General features: G+C 41.0%; 1 pseudogene across 4 annotated transcripts in view, besides 2 other annotated features; it reads right to left on the bottom strand.

The window, feature by feature from the left end:
* LOC107984974 (SMAD specific E3 ubiquitin protein ligase 2 (SMURF2) pseudogene) overlaps positions 1–13,539 on the bottom strand; it is a 38,254-nt pseudogene extending 24,715 nt beyond the window's left edge. For all 4 annotated transcript variants that reach the window (NR_171381.1, NR_171382.1, NR_171379.1 and 1 more), the window contains exons 1-2: positions 13,315–13,539; positions 76–208 (exon numbers count right to left, since the gene is read on the bottom strand). The product of NR_171381.1 is annotated as an SMAD specific E3 ubiquitin protein ligase 2 (SMURF2) pseudogene, transcript variant 3 (transcript). The remainder of the gene's footprint in view (positions 1–75; positions 209–13,314) is intronic.
* Positions 13,250–13,299: a silencer, noted in NCBI's record as "silent region_8407". NCBI's record gives its function as "represses an Ori minimal core promoter by ATAC-STARR-seq in GM12878 lymphoblastoid cells {active_cell/tissue: GM12878}" and the evidence as "EXISTENCE:reporter gene assay evidence [ECO:0000049][PMID:35858748]".
* Positions 13,344–13,845: an enhancer, noted in NCBI's record as "H3K27ac hESC enhancer chr17:29335291-29335792 (GRCh37/hg19 assembly coordinates)". NCBI's record gives its function as "activates a minimal SCP1, AML or CMV promoter by ChIP-STARR-seq in primed H9 embryonic stem cells {active_cell/tissue: H9 hESC(primed)}" and the evidence as "EXISTENCE:reporter gene assay evidence [ECO:0000049][PMID:30033119]".

Raw genomic sequence — 19,414 nt, 5'->3', positions numbered from 1 at the left:
TGCACACATACATACACACACACACACACACACACATATATATATAAAATTTGAAAAGCAGTAGTATCTACTCACAACCAGTGTCTTTGAGGTGGTTGATGGCACTGGAAAAAGATGAACACAACGGAGAAATCCAGCACCTTGTTTCTTATGGATCTTCTTGTGATTCCATACACTGATTGTAACTGAATCAGACTTTTCAATATACCTAAAAATGAAAACGGCTACATGAGTATGTTGGTAGTTATAAGGCAGTGGGCGTAAAATTTTTCTTTTGTTCTTTTTATACCCTAAAGTTAAAATTTGCTTCAGAGCCTGGCTAGATTATGCAAAATACATGACTTAATCCACAGGATTGAATATAAATTTTTTAAAAATCTTGAAAGTAAAATTTTTAAAAACAATTTTAGTATATTTTTATCACATCTGCCACTCTCAAGCTGGGCTATAATTCTAGTTAGTAAAAAGGCTATTTTAGTAGCTAGTGTCTAATAACACTAAGGGAGTTTATTAAATAACTTCTTTCCAAGAAAAAGAATCTTCAAAACTTTTATCACGGCCGGGCACAATGGCTCACGCCTGTAATCCCAGCACTTTGGGAGGCTGAGGCGGGCGGATCACAAGGTCACGAGATCAAGACCATCCTGGCTAACACGGTGAAATCCCGTCTCTACTAAAAAAAAAAAAAAAAAAAAAAAATTAGCCGGGCATGGAGGCGGGCACCTGTTGTCTCAGCTACTCAGAAGGCTGAGGCAGGAGAATGGCGTGAACCCGAGAGGCGGAGCTTGCAGTGAACCGAGATCACGCCACTGTACTCCAGCCTGGGAGACAGAGCAAGACTCCGTCTCAAAAAAAAAAAAAAAAAATTTTACCACAGTCACATTTTAAATACATTTCAATGACATGACCTACTTTTCAACGGATAGTGTCAAGGCTGACAGACCAAAAATCTGACCTGTTATATTTTAAAATGCTGTAGAACAAAAGCTGTTTGTAACGCTTTTCCCCTGCTTCTTTCCTGTATGCAGGCCTTGAGCGAGCAGGACTCTTGCAGATTTCACTTCACCTCCTGCAGACAAGCAGTGCAGGGAAAAGCATTACTGTACTTGTCTGTGGATATACCTGCAAGTACGTAAAGGCTCTACCACAGCCAATTGTTAACATGGCATCAACCCATGCAAAAAGATAATATAATAACATAATCATGTCAGCAGAATCCTAGCTCTATTTCAATGACATTAAGAGGTCAAAGTTTTAGTCTAAAGTATTGCTAATTCAATAAATTAGCAATATCAGAAAAATTCACCTAGTATAGAGAAAAGACTAAACCACTTAAGTAACGACTAAAGCTTTCAAATAAGGAACATGGAAGGTACACTTGAGCCCCGGGATCCAGCTGTGCCTAAAAAATGGCCACCCCTAAGCTTTTCATTATGCAAATCAGTACATTCCCTTTTTAAAAATTAAGCCGATTTGAACTTGGTCTCTGTTGCTTGCAAATGAAAAGATATGAACTGAAATATTGTTCAGTACGCATGTACCAATTTCCAAATACACGTACCCGATCCATCTTGGTATATATCTACTGGCATGTAATTCCAGAGCCAGAATCCAGTATTAAGTAGCTGAATTACCCAAACCAAACATTTTTTTAAAAGTCCATTAAACCAGTTGTCCAACTAGTAAGCCTGGTTTACAGGTATGCTGAAATACATATATTGATTACCTCAGTCCTCAGGGCAATGCACCACTGGCTTAAGCAACTTCACCTGTTTAGTCCAGTGTGCCATAATATTTTTTATGTGTACCATGATATGAAAAGGTTGGGAAGCTCTACATTAAACCGTAATGAGAAATTGCTAATTATGGACCTTCTGGAAGACAGCCTAACTCTGAATTACTCAAAATTATGAAATATATTGTATTACTTAAGTGTACATGTCACAAACATTCTGTCCAAATATTCCTGGGCCAGAAATTAATCAGAAATATTACCTTTTCTTATACACAGAGAAGTACATGCTCTCACTTTAATGAAACCTCATGTAATATAACATAATGGCCACATAAAAGAAAAAGTAAAGACTTTTATAATTGAAAGTTAAACAGAGGGCTCTATCAGCTTCTATTAAAACTTTGACTTCACTAACAAATACATGATTTATAAACAAGTTTCAGGATGTTTTGTTGAGAGGGGTAGATGGTAACCTCTATGGGTGATATAATGTTACCATATAGACAAAAGTATAATATACATACTCAGGATTTGGGGCTAAAATTTAATTATTAGACTTTTGTTTGTACACTTAGCCAATTAAAGGCAAGGATTTTGCAAAACGACCTCAGACACAAGCAAGAGAGAAGCCTCTGGTAGCCAATTAATATTAACTGTAAGATAAAACATAACGAGCACATGCAAAGATGCTCAACATCATTAGTCATGAGGGAAATGCACTTCCAAACCATGACGAGGTACAACTTCATACACACTAGGGGGGCTACAATTTTTTTAAAGGAAAATAACAAGCGACAGACGAATAAAGAAACTTCCAGTGGAAAACAACAGTCATGACAGACCAAAATCAGGATGCCATCAGCAATACTCTGAACCTACACTGTCCAAAATGGTATCCACCAACCACATGGGACCTTTGAGTACTTCAAATGTGGCTAGTCCACATTGAGGCAAGCTGCAAAAGAAACCACTGATTTTTCTTAACATAAAATGAGAAAACCACTGATTTTTCAAAGACATAGTAAATATGTATATATACATAAATAAGTAGCTCAATATTTTTATACTACCATGTTGAAAATATTTTTGATATATTGAATTAAATAACATATATTATGCTTAATTTTCAGCATAATAAATTATGCTTATTATGCATAATATAACTATATTGTATTACGGGTCTTGCTATGTTGCCCAGTGTGGTCACAGACTCCTGGCCTCAAGTTATCCTCCCATCTCAGCCTCCCGAGTAGCTGGATTACAGGTGCAAGCCACCATGCCCAGTTTATTATGCTTAATGTCATCTGTTTCTTTTTACTTATCTTAATGTGGATACTAGGAAATTTAAAATTACAGATGAACTCCCATTTGTGGCTTACATTATATTTCTACTCAACAGTACAAATCTAAACCTAGAAGATAATGGAGCAATGTATTCAACATTTGGAGATAAAGTGCTATTTCATCTAGAAGCCTGTACTCAAACCATACCAACAGATAAGAAACCAAAATATATTTTCTGATAAGATCTCAACTTTCTCCCCATCTTTGTATTATTTCTCAAAATGACAACAGAAGATAGGGTTCACCAAATCAAGAGAGTCACTAAATCTAGAAGAGACAAAGGAAATTGCCAACATAACAATAAAGGCAAGTCCCAGGACAACTGCACAGCAGGTCTTAGAGAACCATCACACCAGACTGAAGAAAGAGAACACAGACCCCCAGGAGGGGTATCTCCAAGAAGAAACAAAGCCAATGGAATACTGACAGAATTGAATATATGGAGAAAAGATCTTTAGTTCTGTAGGAGAGTTTGAGGATTATGACATGTAATTTCTCATTTCTAGCTAGGAGATAAATAGAAAACTAAACAAAAGGGAAAAGTAGCTACTAACTTCAGAAAAAACAAAAGCTGTCAAGAAAGAAAATATAATTCTTGTACCCATGTGACCCAACTATGGATATTTACATAATCATAATAATGTAAACATGGAACAATGGTTTAATCAAAAAGGTTCCTATAATTATATTGGAAGATTAAAGAAAGGAAGGGGCTTGTGAGTGTCATGGGAATGGGGATGACGAATACCAATTTTAAAAGCTGAACCACTGGGCTGGGCATCATACCCCATGCCTGTAATCCAAATACTTTGGGAGGCAAAGGAGGGAGAATCACTTGGGCCCAGGAATTCAAAACCAGACTGGGCAATATAGGAAGACCCCATCTCTACAGAAAATTACCAAAAAAAAAAAAAAAATTAGTTTGGCATGGTGGCATGCACCTGTAGTTACAGCTACTCAGGAGGGTGAGGTGGGAGGATCCGTTGAGTCCAGGAGTTTGAGGCTGCAGTGAGCTATGATTATGCCACTGCACTCCAGCCTGAGCAACAGAGTGAGACTGTCTCTAATTTTAAAAGAATTTTTAATAAAAAATAAAGCTGAATTATCTTCTATGTAGGAAATTCGAAAATATCTAAAACTAGGCTGGGCGCAGTGGCTCACATCTGTAATCCTAGCACTTTCGGAGGCCGAGTCAGGCAGATCACTTGAGGTCAGGGGTTCGAGACGAGCCTAGCCAACATGGTGAAATTCTGTCTCTACTAAAAGTACAAAAATTAGCTGGGCATGGTGGTGGGCACCTGCATTCCCAGCTACTCGGGAGGCTGAGGCAGGAGAATTGCTTGAACCCAAGAGGCAGAGATTGCAGTGAGCCAAGATGGTGCCACTACACTCCAGCCTGGGTGACAGTGCAAGACTCTGTCTCAAAAAAAAAAAAAAAAATTACATAAAACTGAAAAAAGAAAACTGTGATGGTATAAAATAAGGAACATATCTAGAAACAGATGAAAATACCAGAATAAACAGCCAAAGTTATTAGAGCAGTTGCCTTGAGGATGGGAATCAGGAATGAGAAAGGACCAGGGACCTTGCTGTTTTCCATAAAACCTTTATAGTATCATTTGCCTTTTTTAAATGGTGCATATACTCCTATGATTAAAATAAAATTTAAAAGAAAGAAACCCTCTACATAAAGGCAAAAAGAATGCCTATTCAGTGTAATCAAAATTCTGATTTCTGGTTTTATAATTGGTCTAAAGTGGTGAATTAATACCTTTATTTAATTGAAAAAAGTTGGGGGGACTGCTCTACTGTGAGCCAGTTTCATTTTGTTCTTCATAGAATTTTAGGGATACCTCATCTTTCAAAACCTGTCTATAAACCAAAGCACATTCCCACTGGGCTTTTCTTTACACCTTTTGTGAAGACCAAATTATAGCATAGATGAAACTCAGATCATTTCCCACGATTCTTTTCAAAGACTATATCAAGTAATATTAATTATATGTTTCATTTCAAACTAATCGTTTAAACCTACAGGTCATAATGCTGATTCCACTTTGGATCGAGCATATTCTTCACAGTATCTATAGAATGGCATTGCCCAGATCCATCAACCACCACCTTAGCAAATGGATCAGGAAGTCCTGTGAAAAAGATTTTTGAAATTAATAATTTGACATGTGAGATAGATTATACAAACATTCCATTTGCTACAAAAGATTATTCCATTATTTTTAAAAAAGTTTAACAGCTATAAATGAATATTCCATTTTTTTAAAAAAGACTAAAAGTTACTTCTATATAAAACACCAAAACTATACTTGTCTCGTTTCTGCCTCAAAATGTTCCCAGTTTAAACTACCAAAATCTAGAGACTAATTCATAAGGTGGAAGTTTTTGTAAGTTGTTACCAGCCCTCTGACCCCAGGAAGGTGAATTCTTGTAACCATTCATGGCTTTTTCTTTCCAAATGTCTCCCTCAGTAGCTCATTTAAAGGAGAGCTTATTAGAGGTTTTTATACAGGAACACAGGCTACAGAGAAATCAAATTAGAAAATGGGTTTTGCTGAATAACTACCAAGAAAAATGAGACCGAAACAAAAGATGTAACACTCTGGCTTAAAAGAGCTTACTATCTAAGTGGAAAGATTAAAAAATACTATACGCAAAACAAAAACAAAAACCAGAAACAAAAATACCTGAGAATAAACAAGTGCTTAGTGATACTGATTATAATGTAAACGCATATCACTATGTTAGGTACTATTCTAAATACTTTACATTCATCCTTAATCCTTACAATAACCCTCTAAGGTAGATATTATTATTTTCCCTATTTTACTGATGAGGAAACTAAGGCACAAGGGGGTCAATTAAGTAGCCCAAGGTCACACAGTAGTAAGTGGCAGAGCCAGGGTCTAAAGTATAGATGCTAAACCCATCTGGCTCTCGACTTCATGATCTTAACCACTATGCTGGATTTTACCTCTCATTTACTACATGGTTCAACAGTGAGTACAAGTAAGAGCTCAGAAAATCAGGAGAACAACTTGAATCTGAACAGTAAAGAAAGGGCTTTAGGGGAGAGGGGAACTCATCTGGGCTTTAAAGCAGGGGTCTCCAACCCCTGGACCATGGGCCGGTACAAGTTTGTGGCCTGTTACAACCGGGCCACACAGCAGGAGGTGAGCAGCAGGAGAGCAAGCATTATGGCCTGAGCTCCACCTTCTGTCAGATCAGCAGCAGCATTAGATGCTCATAGGAGCTGGAACCCTATTGTGAACTGCGCGTGCAAGGGATCTAGGTTGTGCGCTCCTTACAAGAATCTAATGCCTGATGATCTGAGATGGAACAGTTTCATCCCAACACATCCCCTGCTCCCCACATCCTTGGAAAAACTGTCTTGCACAAAACCAGTCCCTGTGCCAAAAAGGTTGGGGACTGCTGCTTTAAATACATACAGGAAAAGGAGGACTTTCCTAGCAATGGAAGAGCGCCAACGAGGGTATGACAATGTAGTATTTAAAAGACTTTGAAGAGTCTAACCAAAGAGTTTGTGCTAAGGTGTAAAAGTAAATACTGTTGGAAATATGCATGAGCCAGTAAGAGGAGCTTAGAAGTCAGACAATAGGGCTTGGACTGATTGAGGTAGATAACAGGGAGCCATTTCAGGTTCTTGAGCATGGCTGTAATTACAGTCATATTTTCCTATCAGTGGTATTCAGGGCCCACTAGGAGAAAGAAAGATTAGAGGCGACCATATATGAAGCTGTTGTAATCATCCAACAGTAGGATGAAAAGACCCTGAACGAGGAAAGTCATATGGAAAGGGAAAGGAAATGAAAATTAAGAGAGCTATTCTGAAAGATCTAATACAAATCAATAAGAAACTTGTATCAAAGATGACAATACAGTTTTCGGCCCAAAGCCATAATGAAAATGATTTTTTTGACAAAAATTTAAAAGGTGGAACTAAAAATGTTAGACAAAAATGACACTTCACATGTTAGACATATTGGAATACAGTAGATTTCCTGTGGACAGCTGAAAATAGTACAACAAAACAGTGTTAAGTGTTGGTGACTGGAGAAATTTTGCATGTTGGTATCAATGCTAATTTTTTTAAGATACTAATTTGCCAAGGTTCAAGGACAGACAAATCACCTATCAGTTCCCCAATTCTATGATTCTGTGATCTATCACCTTCAAATAATAAAGGAAGACCAAAACTTAAGGGTTATGTTTCAAACAAACTTGGTAAGTTAGGGTATTAAATCTATTTGACTATATTGTTCTTGAAGCTGAGTGTTATGCATAGTATTTCAATAACACCTAACCATTTATAAATGTGTTCAATGGAAGAATGTTTTTACCTCCACCCTCAATTCATGAAGTATTTCCTCCTGGGAAGTATTTACTCCATCTTGTTACTTCCGCTCTACTACTTAAACATATAAATTTATGTTTATAAGCAAAAACAAAAAATCACATTTCTATACTTTCCCTTTGGGTGTTATTAAACTAGTTGAAGAATTAAATCTCTCTGCTGGTTTCTTGCTTTTTTAAAAAATTAAAATAAAAAGAATTAAAAATTAGTCAGGCACAGTGGCTCATGCCTGTAATCCCAGCACTTTGGGAGGCTGAGGCGAAAGGATCACTTGAGCCCAGGAGTTTGAGACCAGCCTGGGCAACACAGTAAGACCCCACCTCTACAAAAAAAATTTAAAAGTTAGCCAAGGGTGGTGGCATACGTCTGTAGTCTCAGCTACTCAGGAGGCTGAGGTGGGAGGATCGCTTGAGCCTGGGAGGCTGAGGCTGCAGTAAGCCACGATCATGCCACTGCACTACATCCTGGTTGACAAAGCAAGACCGTATCTCAGGGGGGAAAAAAAATTAAGGATTAAGAAAAACATCTGACAAAGGACTAATATCCAGAATCTACAAAGTATGCAAACAAATCAGCAAGAAAAAAAAAACAAACAATTCCATCAAAAAGTGGGTTAAAGACATGAATAGACAATTCTCAAAAGAAGATATACCAACCAAGATAGGCCAACAAGCTTATGGAAAAATGCTCAACATCACTAAGTATCAGGGAAATGCAAATCAGAACTACAATGCGATGCCACCTCACTCCTGCAAGAATGGCCATAATCAAAAAATAAAAAACAAACAAACAGATGTTGGCATGGATGCAGTGAAAAGGGAACACTTTTACACTGCTGGTGGTAATGTAAACTAGTACAACCACTACGGAAAACAGTGTGGAGATTCCTTAAAGAACTAAAAGTAGATCTACCATTTGATCCAGCAATCCCACTACTGGGTACCTACCCAGAGGAAAAGAAGTCATTATACAAAAAAGATTCTTGCACACGCATGTTTATAGCAGCACAATTTGCAATTGCAAAAATATGGAACCAGCCCAAATACTTATCAGTCAATGAGTGGATAAAGAAAATGTGGTATGTATACACACACACACAAACATACACACACACATATATACACATATATATACACCATGGAATACTATTCAGCCATAAAAAGAAATAATAGCATTCACAGCAACCTGGATAAAATCGGAGACTATTATTCTAAGTGAAGTAACTCAAGAATGAAAAACCTAACATTGTATGTTCTCAGTCACATGGGGGAGCTAAGCTATGAGGATGCAAAGGCATAAGAATGATACACTGGACTATAGGGACTGTGGGAAAGGGTAGGGGTAGTGAGGGATAAAAGACTACACACTGGGTACTGTGTACACTGCTTGGGTGATGGGTCCACCAAAATCTCAGAAATCACCACTAAAGTACTTATTCACGTAATCAAACACCATCTGTTCCCTCAAAATCTACTGAAATAAAAAAATAAAAGAAAACCTTTTTCCATACAAAATGTGGCTTCCAGATCCTTAATTAAGTAGGAAAGTCACAGCCTTTTATGTTTCCTTTCTGTTAAATAACACAATAAACAAAAATACAAGTTCAATATCTTAATTTAAAAAATAGGTTTCAACTTAACCTGATCATATTATTCTACAAAAATTTAATTGAGAACCAAGTTACTCTAATGTGGCCAAAAGCTATCAGGTTTCCTGAAGTTAGTGAGACATCTAGTGGTAAATACAAAGTGGCTAGAGAACTTTGCATTTAAAAAATTTCTTGGCTGGGTGTGGTGGCTCACGCCTGTAATCCCAGCATTTTGGGAGGCCGAGGCTGGCGGATCACGAGATCAGGAGATAGAGGCCATCCTGGCTAACACGGTGAAACCCCATCTCTACTGAAAATACAAAAAATTAGCCGGGCGTGGCGCCATGCACCTGTAGTACCAGCAACTCGGGAGGCTGAGGCAGGAGAATCGCTAGAACCCAGGAGGCACAGGTTGCAGTGAGCTGAGATCGCCCCATTGCACTCCAGCCAAGAGCGAAACTCCATCTCAAATAAATAAATAAATGTCATTATGGTGTATAGGCATACATAAAAACCTGTGTAATAGAATAAAGCTATCATTTTTAAGGCCTTGAATTAATAAAATATGTAGTGAAACAAGATTAAGACGCTAGCATATCTAAAGGGAAATTTTTAAAGTTAAACTTCCTTACATTATAGACAAGGTTAACCTCCTTATTGCCAAGGGCTTTGAAATTAATAATATGAGAAGCAGCATACAAAAACATTAAATTTATAAAAAGGTCTGAAATAAATGTTCTGGAGGAGTAATCTTATTCTACTTCTCTATACCTAAGAATTTAAAATATTAGAAATTACACTAAACTGCTTTTTGCAGCCTTTGGTTTTCAAAAACAATAATGGTCTAAAAATTACCCTAAAGTTTTTACTGTAAAGAATATTTTTCTATCCAAACCATTGTAAGAAAAGCCTGTATCTGACAGTCATATAGGTATAATATAGAAATTATACACTTTATAATCAATTTGTTCTAGAAATATTAGTTGAAGTTGATGGTGTTACTATACACCCCATTTTAATGATCATATGTTAATGTGTCACAAAGAACAGAAGTAGCTTGATGGATGAAATTGGATTCTAACCCCCAATTGCCTGAGGAATCTAAAATTTGGGATCAAATTATTAAATTAGCCCCACCTTCTTAGCACTGACAAATACCAAACAGTTCACTGATTGTGGTTTTAAGAATAATATGTGGTGGCCAGGCGTGGTGGCTCACGCCTGTAATCCCAGCACTTTGGGAGGCCGAGGTGGGCGGATCACTAGATCGGGAGATGGAGATCACCCTGGCCAACATGGTGAAACCCCATCTCTACTAAAAATACAAAAAAAGCCGGGCATGGTGGCAGGCACCTGTAATCCCATCTACTTGGGAGGCTGAGGCAGGAGAATCGCTTGAACCCGGGAGGCGGAGGTTGCAGTGAGCCAAGATCGTGCCACTGCACTCCAGCCTGGGCAAAAAGAGTGAAACTGTGTCTCAAAAAAAAAAAAAAAAAAAGAATAATATGTGGAAAAGTCTAATATCAATTGTGGGCACTGATCTCATGGTTCAAATATTTCCTCTTCTTCAGAAAGAGAGAGTGTGTATGAGTGTGTGAGAGAGTGTGTGTGTGTGTGTGTGTCACCATGCAAGAAATGTTTATACCTTTCAGTAAAAGGGCAATTCCACAATAAGGTTATTACCAAGTAACTAAAGTTTATACAGCATCTTGAAATCAAAGATACTCTATAAATGTAAAATACTAACATGGTATTAACTTAAAGCAAAGAACAATAATTTTAAAACATCTTATAGCCCAAGTGTATTGTAAACCAAATATAAATTCACTGTGAGATCTGTCTTTTTTTAAGTGATTTTTTTTCCTCTATTAGGGAACCCAGGTCTAAACGAATTGTTAAACACTTAGTCTAAAGGTATGCCAAACATTTCTTAAGGTTTTTACAAAGAATCAACTTTTTTTAAAAAAACAAAATGAGGCCTAGGTTAAATATTTTATTTGGCTTCTCAAGATGGACTGAGAAGTTGGGCACCAGCTCCAGACCAATTCCTGGACGCACATCAAACACAGCCCTGTCATTTATCCTGTCAGTCAAAACAATCTTTTCCATCTAACCTTTAATGTTTATGTCCTAAAAAGCTGCTAATTAAATCCAGCTCTTGAGATCTATTTGCTAAAATATATCCCATCTAATTTGTAAATGATGAACAAAAATGAAAAAAAAAAAGTTCACTTTCCTGGCAAAACAGAAGACTCCACTGTAACCAAAGGAGGAAGGACAATGTTTTTAACATTTGTCAAATTTTAAGAGAAAACTATTCAGAGACAAATAGTTGTAAGAAACTCAGAGTACCTCAAACTGTTTTTACTATTAAGTGGACACAGGGTATTTAAAAAATCCTCAGAAAAACCTGAAACAAAATCACTCTATAAATGTAGTTCAATATTCCCTCTTCCCCTAAAATATAAGCATAATCTTTCCTCTTAACAAACTTTACTTATAAATTTTTATAATGTATCATAGGCAGTACGGAAACCACAGATAAACACTTTAAGATCTACTGAGTCATACTTAAAACCTCAACTCATTTTATCTGCAGAAAATCAAAATCCCTATTTTTTCCCTCATTTTCTCTATGTAGCCTTGAGGGAAGTAAATGGAAACAGCTTATTTCTGATGCTTTCTGCACACCTGGGATCGCATGTTCTTTCGATGATCACTGATTCCAGATAGCAACAGATAAACTCTAAAGCAACAAAGATCCCCTAAAAAGGTTTCCACTGACTTCTCCCAATATAAGGACATTGAATGGGGGGAAGTTGGGGGGAAATACAAGTATCCTCCAATCCAGGTTTTCCATTAAGAACCACTCAGTTAATGATTCCCTGCATTTTTCCTTAGGGAAAGCAAAACTTGTCATGAAGGTCATGTATTATTTAAATCGCAGCCAACAGACATTCAAGCTAAATTCTCAAATACCAAATTCACTGCAAGTTTTCATCTAGCTGTACTGGGATCTGACACACATGCATTCAACTACAAAATTAGCCCAAATAAATCTCAAAGTCTAGTGTGGGCAAACATAATTACAGTTTATTCGTACACGTGCACGCACACACAAATCCTCTACGGAAAATTATCTTTCTCACCACTCATCCGAATATAAACGTGGACAATTTATCAGGGGTAAATGGTGAAGGTAGGATAACGTCGTGATTTCAATTCCTTTTCAAACCAAATACAAGTTTTCCTAAAATGGGGGTGACATGTCCATGTAAGAATACCAAAAATGGCACTGTAAGCAAAAATGTACCTGTAATGTTAAAGATTTCATGCGCCTGGAATCATAAACACTTTGTAAGTGTAGTCTTCTATCTAGCAACCCCTCCGGACATTATTTTCCATTTAGAAAAAGGAAGGGGGAGGGTGGGGAGAGTAAGAGAAAGTTTGCTCTAAAGTTTGTATGAGCACATAGTTAGAAAAGTACCCCCTCCCCACCCCCGCCAAAAAGTGTGTTTTTAAAGCAGGTCTGGAGTTAGAAGTGACACAAGTTCTGCGGCCTACAAGGTACAACCCCAAACATGCCACCCTACAATCAGACACTTCCAAAACACAGTGTACAATGAGCCCGAGCCGTCGGATCAGACAGGCACACGGGAAAAGTCAACCTCAGTCTCCTCTCCTCAGAGAGACGTGAGTTTAAGGTGTGCGGCCCCGGCAGCGGTAGCCGGAGGCGGAGAGTAAGGATTTTGCACGCGGGCATAAGTAGGTGTGCAAGGTAACAACCCGGGAACACACACGCACACACTTCCGTTAAGCGCTCCATCTTTAAGGAGTAAACACTCCTTAAAGTTGCGCGCAGTCAGCAACCGGATTCAATAATCCTCGCCACGAGAGCTCTTCATCCCCTTCACGATCCCACCTGGGCGGTAGCCCAGGGGCTCCTCCCCGAGCCCCGAGAGGCAGCATCGGGCTCCTTGACCAAGACTTTCGGACCTGAAATCCGCCTGCGATGCGAACCGATGTAACCTCCCCTCCACAAAAGACCACCCCCCCTCCCCAAGTCATCCTCGGCTTTTTAAAGAATGTCCAAACCGGAGCGAGTGGTTTTCCAATTACTCTCCCTGAACTAGGCCTTCCCATTCCTCCAACCCCCAACTCACCATTGATCGCGATCCTGGCCCTTCCCAAGTCAACAGGCACCCCCCGCCAGCTCGCCCACCCGGCGGCTGCCCAGCCCGGCCCGGCGCTCCCCCTCACCTGTCAGGTGCAGCTTGACGGGCCCGTTCCTCCGGCTTCCGGGGTTGGACATGTCCCCAGCGGCGGAGGCGGCGGGCAGGACGGGGACAGGGGCGACGGCGAGGCGCGGCGGAGTCACCACAGCGTCAGGGGCTGAGGCCCGAGCTTTTGGCGCTGCAACCGCCACGGCCGGAGGGTCCCGGACGTGCCGAGCGTAGTCGTCCTGAGCCGCGGAGGACGCGGGACGCCGAGCTCCCCGCTCCTCCCACTTCTCTTTCCTTGGTCTGGGCTGCACAACTAGGCGGCAGCCGGCCGCCCGCGCCTCCGCAGCATCCTCGCGGCCTCTGCGGCCTTTCCCTCCTCTCGTCTGGGCTAGGCCCAGTAGTCGACGGCGCTGGTCGGCTGAGGCAGGCGGTGCTCCGGCGGCGCCGGAGCAGGACTCTCGGCTTCTCCTCCTCCACCCGCCCTTTTGTCTGAGGGACCCGGGATTTTGCTTTTCCCTTATAGAAATGGTGGAGTCAGTGAAGAAATTAGCAGGGATGGATGTGGAGCTGACAGCTGAAGAAAGAAACCTCCTATCTGTTACATATAAGAATGTGATTGGAGCTAGAAGAGCCTCCTGGAGAATAATCAGCAGCCTTGAACAGAAAGAAGGAACAAGGGAGGAGAAGACAAGCTAAAAATGATTCGGAAATACCGGCAAATGGTGAGACTGTTGTACAACAGTCCCCCCTTATCCGCAGTTTGAGTTACCAGTGGTACAGTACAATAAGATATTTTTAGAGAAAAGAGACTACGTTCATGTAACTTCTATTAGAGTATGTTATAATTGTTCTGGTATTAATCTTTTTCTGTGCCTAGTTTATAAATTAAACTTTACCATGAGTATGTATGTACAGAACAAAACATAGTATATATAAAGTTTGGTGTTGTCCATGGTTTCAGCGTATCCACTGGGGGGGGTCTCAGAATGGATCCCTCTCAGATAAAAGGGAACTATCGTATTTTCAAGAAAAATGATGATGATGTGTTTTGGGTTAAATTTGTCCCATTCTTCTTTTTATTGAAAGACTAAGGTTTTTTTTTTTTTTTTTCTAATCCAATATCGTTGTTTTTAATCTCTGGGTTTTATACAACAGAAATTATCTGGGGGAAGGAAGCTCTTGTTACCTGAATATGTCCTAATTTTTGTCTCTTATTTTTATGGTTTTAGAAAATGTCTCTGAAAAGGGAGGCTTGTTTCTGTTGAGTGTCTGGCTTAGTTCTCAGGCTTATGTCTGTCAGTAATTTGGCCATAGTTGTTGGCATTCGAGGTCACAGCCTAGTGCTCACATGACTGTATATGTAGTACACATTTTATATCTTGGTAGAGTTGTGTCTTTTGCTCACGTGGATTAGGCTATAGAATATTCCACGGCAGAGGCGAATAACTTTTTCTCCTGGAAGCTGCAGTAGTGGGCAAAAAAGTGAGACCCTGTCCCTAAAAATAAAGTTGTAAAGCTTGGCCGGGTGCAGTGGCTCACGCCTGTAATCCCAGCACTTTGGGAGGCCAAGGCGGGTGGATCACAAGGTCAGGAGATCGAGACCATCCTGGCTAACACGGTGAAACCCCGTCTCCACTAAAAAAAAAAAAAAAAAAAAAAAAAAAAAAATTCTCCAGGCGTGGTGGTGGGCGCCTGTAGTCCCAGCTACTCCGGAGGCTGAGGCAGGAGAATGGCGTGAGCCCGGGAGGCGGAGCTTGCAGTGAGCCGAGATTGCGCCACTGCACTCCAGCCTGGGCAACACAGCGAGACTCCGTCTCAAAATAAATAAATAAATAAAAAAGTTGTAGGCTGGGATTGATGTTACCATTACTATGAAATATGTTGGGTCAAAGAATTTCGATGACCAATAGACAAGTTTTGTGTCCCAGAGGAATGAGGAAGTAAGAAAGTTCAAAGTGCTGAAGAAAGAAGTCCATGAGCTACACTGTGGGACTTGGGCTAGCTAGGAAATGGAAGCAGGAAGCAAAGAGAGCAACTGATAAATTGGGAGAAGATGTGAAAAGTTCAAGTCTGGATGTCTTAGGTGAGATATATGCATAAGAAAGAAAGAAAGAGGAGAGAGAGAGAGAGAGGGAGAGAGAGAGAGAGAAAAGAAGGAAAAGAAAGAGAAAGAAAGAGAAGAAAGGGAAAGAAAGAAAGAGAGGAAAGAAAGAGAAAGAAAGGAAAGAAAGAAAGAAAGAAAGAAAGAAAGAAAGAAAGAAAGAAAGAAAGAAAGAAAGAAAGGGAGAGAGTGTAGATGTCTTGATGAGTCCCTAAGTAGAAACACGAAGAGAAAAGGAACTAAAAGAGGAAGCCACGGCCAAGAGTGGAGCATTACAATGTTAAGACTTCTAGTATGGAGCAGCACAGTTAGGGGTATGGACAAGTGCAAGTCTTGGAGTAGAAAGCAAAGAACTCTGTTGAATGGAACGTGGCCACACCATACCTTGGTGTGATCTCAGGTTTTGGATAGGTTGGCTGTAGATAGTCATTGAATGTGGGAGAACAGCCTAGAGAGCTATTAATGACAGAAACTGACAAATAGAATGTAGAATATTAGCTTGTGAGGAGGAAGGGTTTGGAGTAACAGGAAAGTAGTCATTGAGTATGTGAGGAGCTAGGAGAACATGGAAATCTTTCTTCTCCTACAGCAGTCTCTATCTGAAAAACCATCAGGGAGATAGTTTATTCAGAAAATAGTTTTGCTTAGCTAAGATAAGGATGCAATTTCGGAAGAAAGAATGAAAGAATGTTTTACAGTGGAAAGCAGGTTCCAGGGCCATGAGAGGAACCTCGAAAGGTTCAACAGTAGTGCCATGAGTTCATAGAAAATAGGAAGCAAGCGGCCAGGCACAGTGGGTCACGCCTGTAAATCTCAGCACTATGGGAGGCCGAGGCAGGCGGATCACGGGGACAGGAGATAGTGACCATCCTGGCTAACATGGTGAAACTCTGTCTCTACTAAAAAAAAAAAAAAAAAAATTAGCCGGGCATGGTGGTGGTGCCTATAGTCCCAGCTACTCGGGAAGCTGAGGCAGGAGAATGGCGTGAACCCGGGAGGCGGAGGTTGCAGTGAGCTGAGATTGCGCCATTGCACTCCAGCCTGAGGGACAAAGCAAAACTCCATCTCAAAATAATAATAATAATAACATAAAATAAAATAAAAATAAGGCCAGCACAGTGGCTCACCCCTGTAATCCCAGCACTCTGGGAGGCCAAGGCGGGTGGATCACTTGAGGTCAGGAGTTCAAGACCAGCCTGGCCAACACTGGGAAACCTGGTCTCTACTAAAAATGTAAAAAATTAGCCAGGCATGATGGCACATGCCCATAATCCCAGCTACTCAGGAGGCTGAGGCAGGAGAATCACTTGAACCTGGGAGACGGAGGTTGCAGTGAGCCGAGATTGTGCCACTGCACTCCAGCCTGGGTGATAGAGCGAGACTGTCTCAAAAACAAAACAAAACAAAATAGTATTTGAGAGAGAAGCAAGGGACAGATAGATATAACTATTTTAGAGGTTTCCTCAAGCCTAACAAGATGGTGGCTTCCTGCTTAGCAGGTGGTCTTCCAGGAACCCAAAGCCCCGGACCCAATAGTGGGTTCAACAGAACTATCCAGCAGCTGCTTCACCAGAGTGTGTGAGGTGGAAGAGAAGAGAGAAGGACAGAAGCAGCCCATGGCACTGATGAGAACACTCCATTCTCCTCAACCCCCAGGAAAAAAAAACACTTGAGAGACAAGGCCTGATAGAAAACAAATTTTTGAGAACAATGTCCCCAGATAGCGCAGAAAGCTGCCAAAGGAGTTCCTCGTGCTCTCCTATGAAGCAGTGTGTCTCCGCTATAGACTGAATGTTTGTGTTCTCCCAAAATTCATGTACTGAAATCCTAACTCCCAATATGACAGTCCTGGGAGGTGATTGGGTCATGAAGATAGAGCCTTCATGAATGAGATTAGTGACCTTATAAAAGGGACTGTAATCCTAGCACTTTGGGAGGCTGAGTTGGGTGGATCACCAGAGGTCAGGAGTTCAAGACCAGCCTAGCCTAGCCAACATGGTGAAACCCCGTCTGTACTAATAAATACAAAAATTAGCTGGGTATGGTGGCAGGCACCTATAATCCCAGCTACTCAAGAGGCTGAGGCAGGAAGAATTGCTTGAACCTGGGAGGCAGAGGTTGCAGTGAGCCCAGGTCACACCACTTCACCCCAGCCTGGGTGATAGAGCAAGACTCTGTCTCAAAAAAAAAAAAAAAAAAAAAAAAACGGCGGGGGAACTCCTGAGAGCTCCCTCACTAGACACCAAATCTGCCAGCACCTTGATTTTGGACTTCCCAGCCTCCAGAACTATGAGAAATAAATTTGCTTTCTTTTCTTTTTTCATTTTTTTCCTTTCTTTTTCTTTTCTTTTCTTTTCTCTTTTCCCCCCTGTCTCTCTCTCTCTCTCTCTTGCTCTCTCTCTTCCTCCCTCCTCTCTCTCTCTCTCTCTCTCTTTCTTTTAGATGGCCTTGCTCTGTCACCCAGGCTGGGGTGCAGTGGCATGATCACAGCTCACTGCAGCCTTGACCTCCTGGGCCCATGCAGTCCTCCAGCCTTAGCCTCCAGAGTATCTGGGACTGCAGGCACATGCCATCACACTCAGCTAATATAAAATGTTTTTGTGGAGACGGGATCTCATTTAGTTGTCCAGGCTGGTCTCAAACTCCTGGGCTCAAGTGATCCTCCTGCTTTGGCCTCCCAAAGTGCTGGGATTGCAGGAGTGAGTCGCCATACCCAGCTGAGAAATAAATTTCTGTTTTTTGTAAGCCACCCAGTCTATGGGAGTCTGTTATAGTAGCCCGAATGGACTAAGATAGCCCCAAGGAAAGTCTTTCTGGCTTGGTCCATAGGCAGATGATTTCCTCGCCCCCACAGTGCAGACCCCAGTGAGAGGTCCTTCATCCACTGGCATTTCAGCTTTAGTTATTCTCCTTTGGAGATTTTGTGTTTTGTTTGAAGGAAGGACACTATATTCTACAGTGTCCTGGAAGAGATATGCTGACACAAAGTGCAAGCCAAAAGCAAAGCAATCAAAAGTGATAGCCTTCTTTCCTTTCCTATGTTTCTGATTCTAGTGCTCTGGCTCCAGTCTGGGGACATCATGTGGCAGGCAGATAAAACCAACACTCACAGAGGCCTCATTGCAATACATACTGTCTGAGAGGACAATATTTAACCAAAAAACCTCAAGAGGCTGAAACCCTTCACTCCAAACTCTGAATCTTGGCTCAAAAGGCAAATATCAAATTAACTCTGGGTTAGAAGATAAAAGCTCCATGATGCAGAAAGTGAGGGCCTATAGCTTCTTTTTACTTATTTATTTATTTATTTATTTATTTATTTATTTATTTTTGAGACAGAATCTCGCTCTGTCACCCAGGATGGAGTGCAGTTGCGTGATCTCGGCTCACTGCAACCTCCACTTCCCAGGTTCAAGCGATTCTCCTGCCCCAGCCTCCCAAGTAGCTGGGACTACAGGTGCCCGCCACCATGCCCAGCTAATTTTATTATTTTTAGTAGAGACAGGGTTTCACCATATTGGCCTGGATGGTCTCGAACTCCTTACCTTGTGATCCGCCCGCCTCGGCCTCCCAAAGTGCCGGGATTACAGACATGAGCCACCACGCCTAGCCTTATTTATTTATTTTTGAGACAGAGTCTTGATGTATCACCCAGGCTGGAGTACAGTGGCAAGATCATGGCTCACTGCAACCTCCGCCTCCCAGGCTCAAGTGGTTCTCCTGCCTCAGCCTCCAAATAGCTGGGATTACAGGTGTGTGCTACTACGCCCAGCTAATTTTTATATTTTTAGTAGAGACGAGGTTTCACCATGTTAACTAGGCTGATCTCGAACTCCTGACCTCAGGTGATCTGTCCACCTCAGACTCCATAAGTGCTGAGATTACAGGCGTGAGCCACCACACCCGGCCACCCATAGCTTCTTAGTGGTCACTTGGCACAAACAAGGAAGCCTTGTCACTGCTTAGACAACTCAAGGCCACTTAAGGACAACCACCAAAATCAAAAAGAAAGGGTACCTCATGACTTTAGGGCTAG

The sequence above is a fragment of the Homo sapiens genome, chromosome 17 (assembly GCF_000001405.40).
Source record: "Homo sapiens chromosome 17, GRCh38.p14 Primary Assembly".
Taxonomy (NCBI): domain Eukaryota; kingdom Metazoa; phylum Chordata; class Mammalia; order Primates; family Hominidae; genus Homo; species Homo sapiens.
Note: the sequence above shows the minus strand (reverse complement) of the source record. Positions and strands in the feature narration are given on the sequence as shown.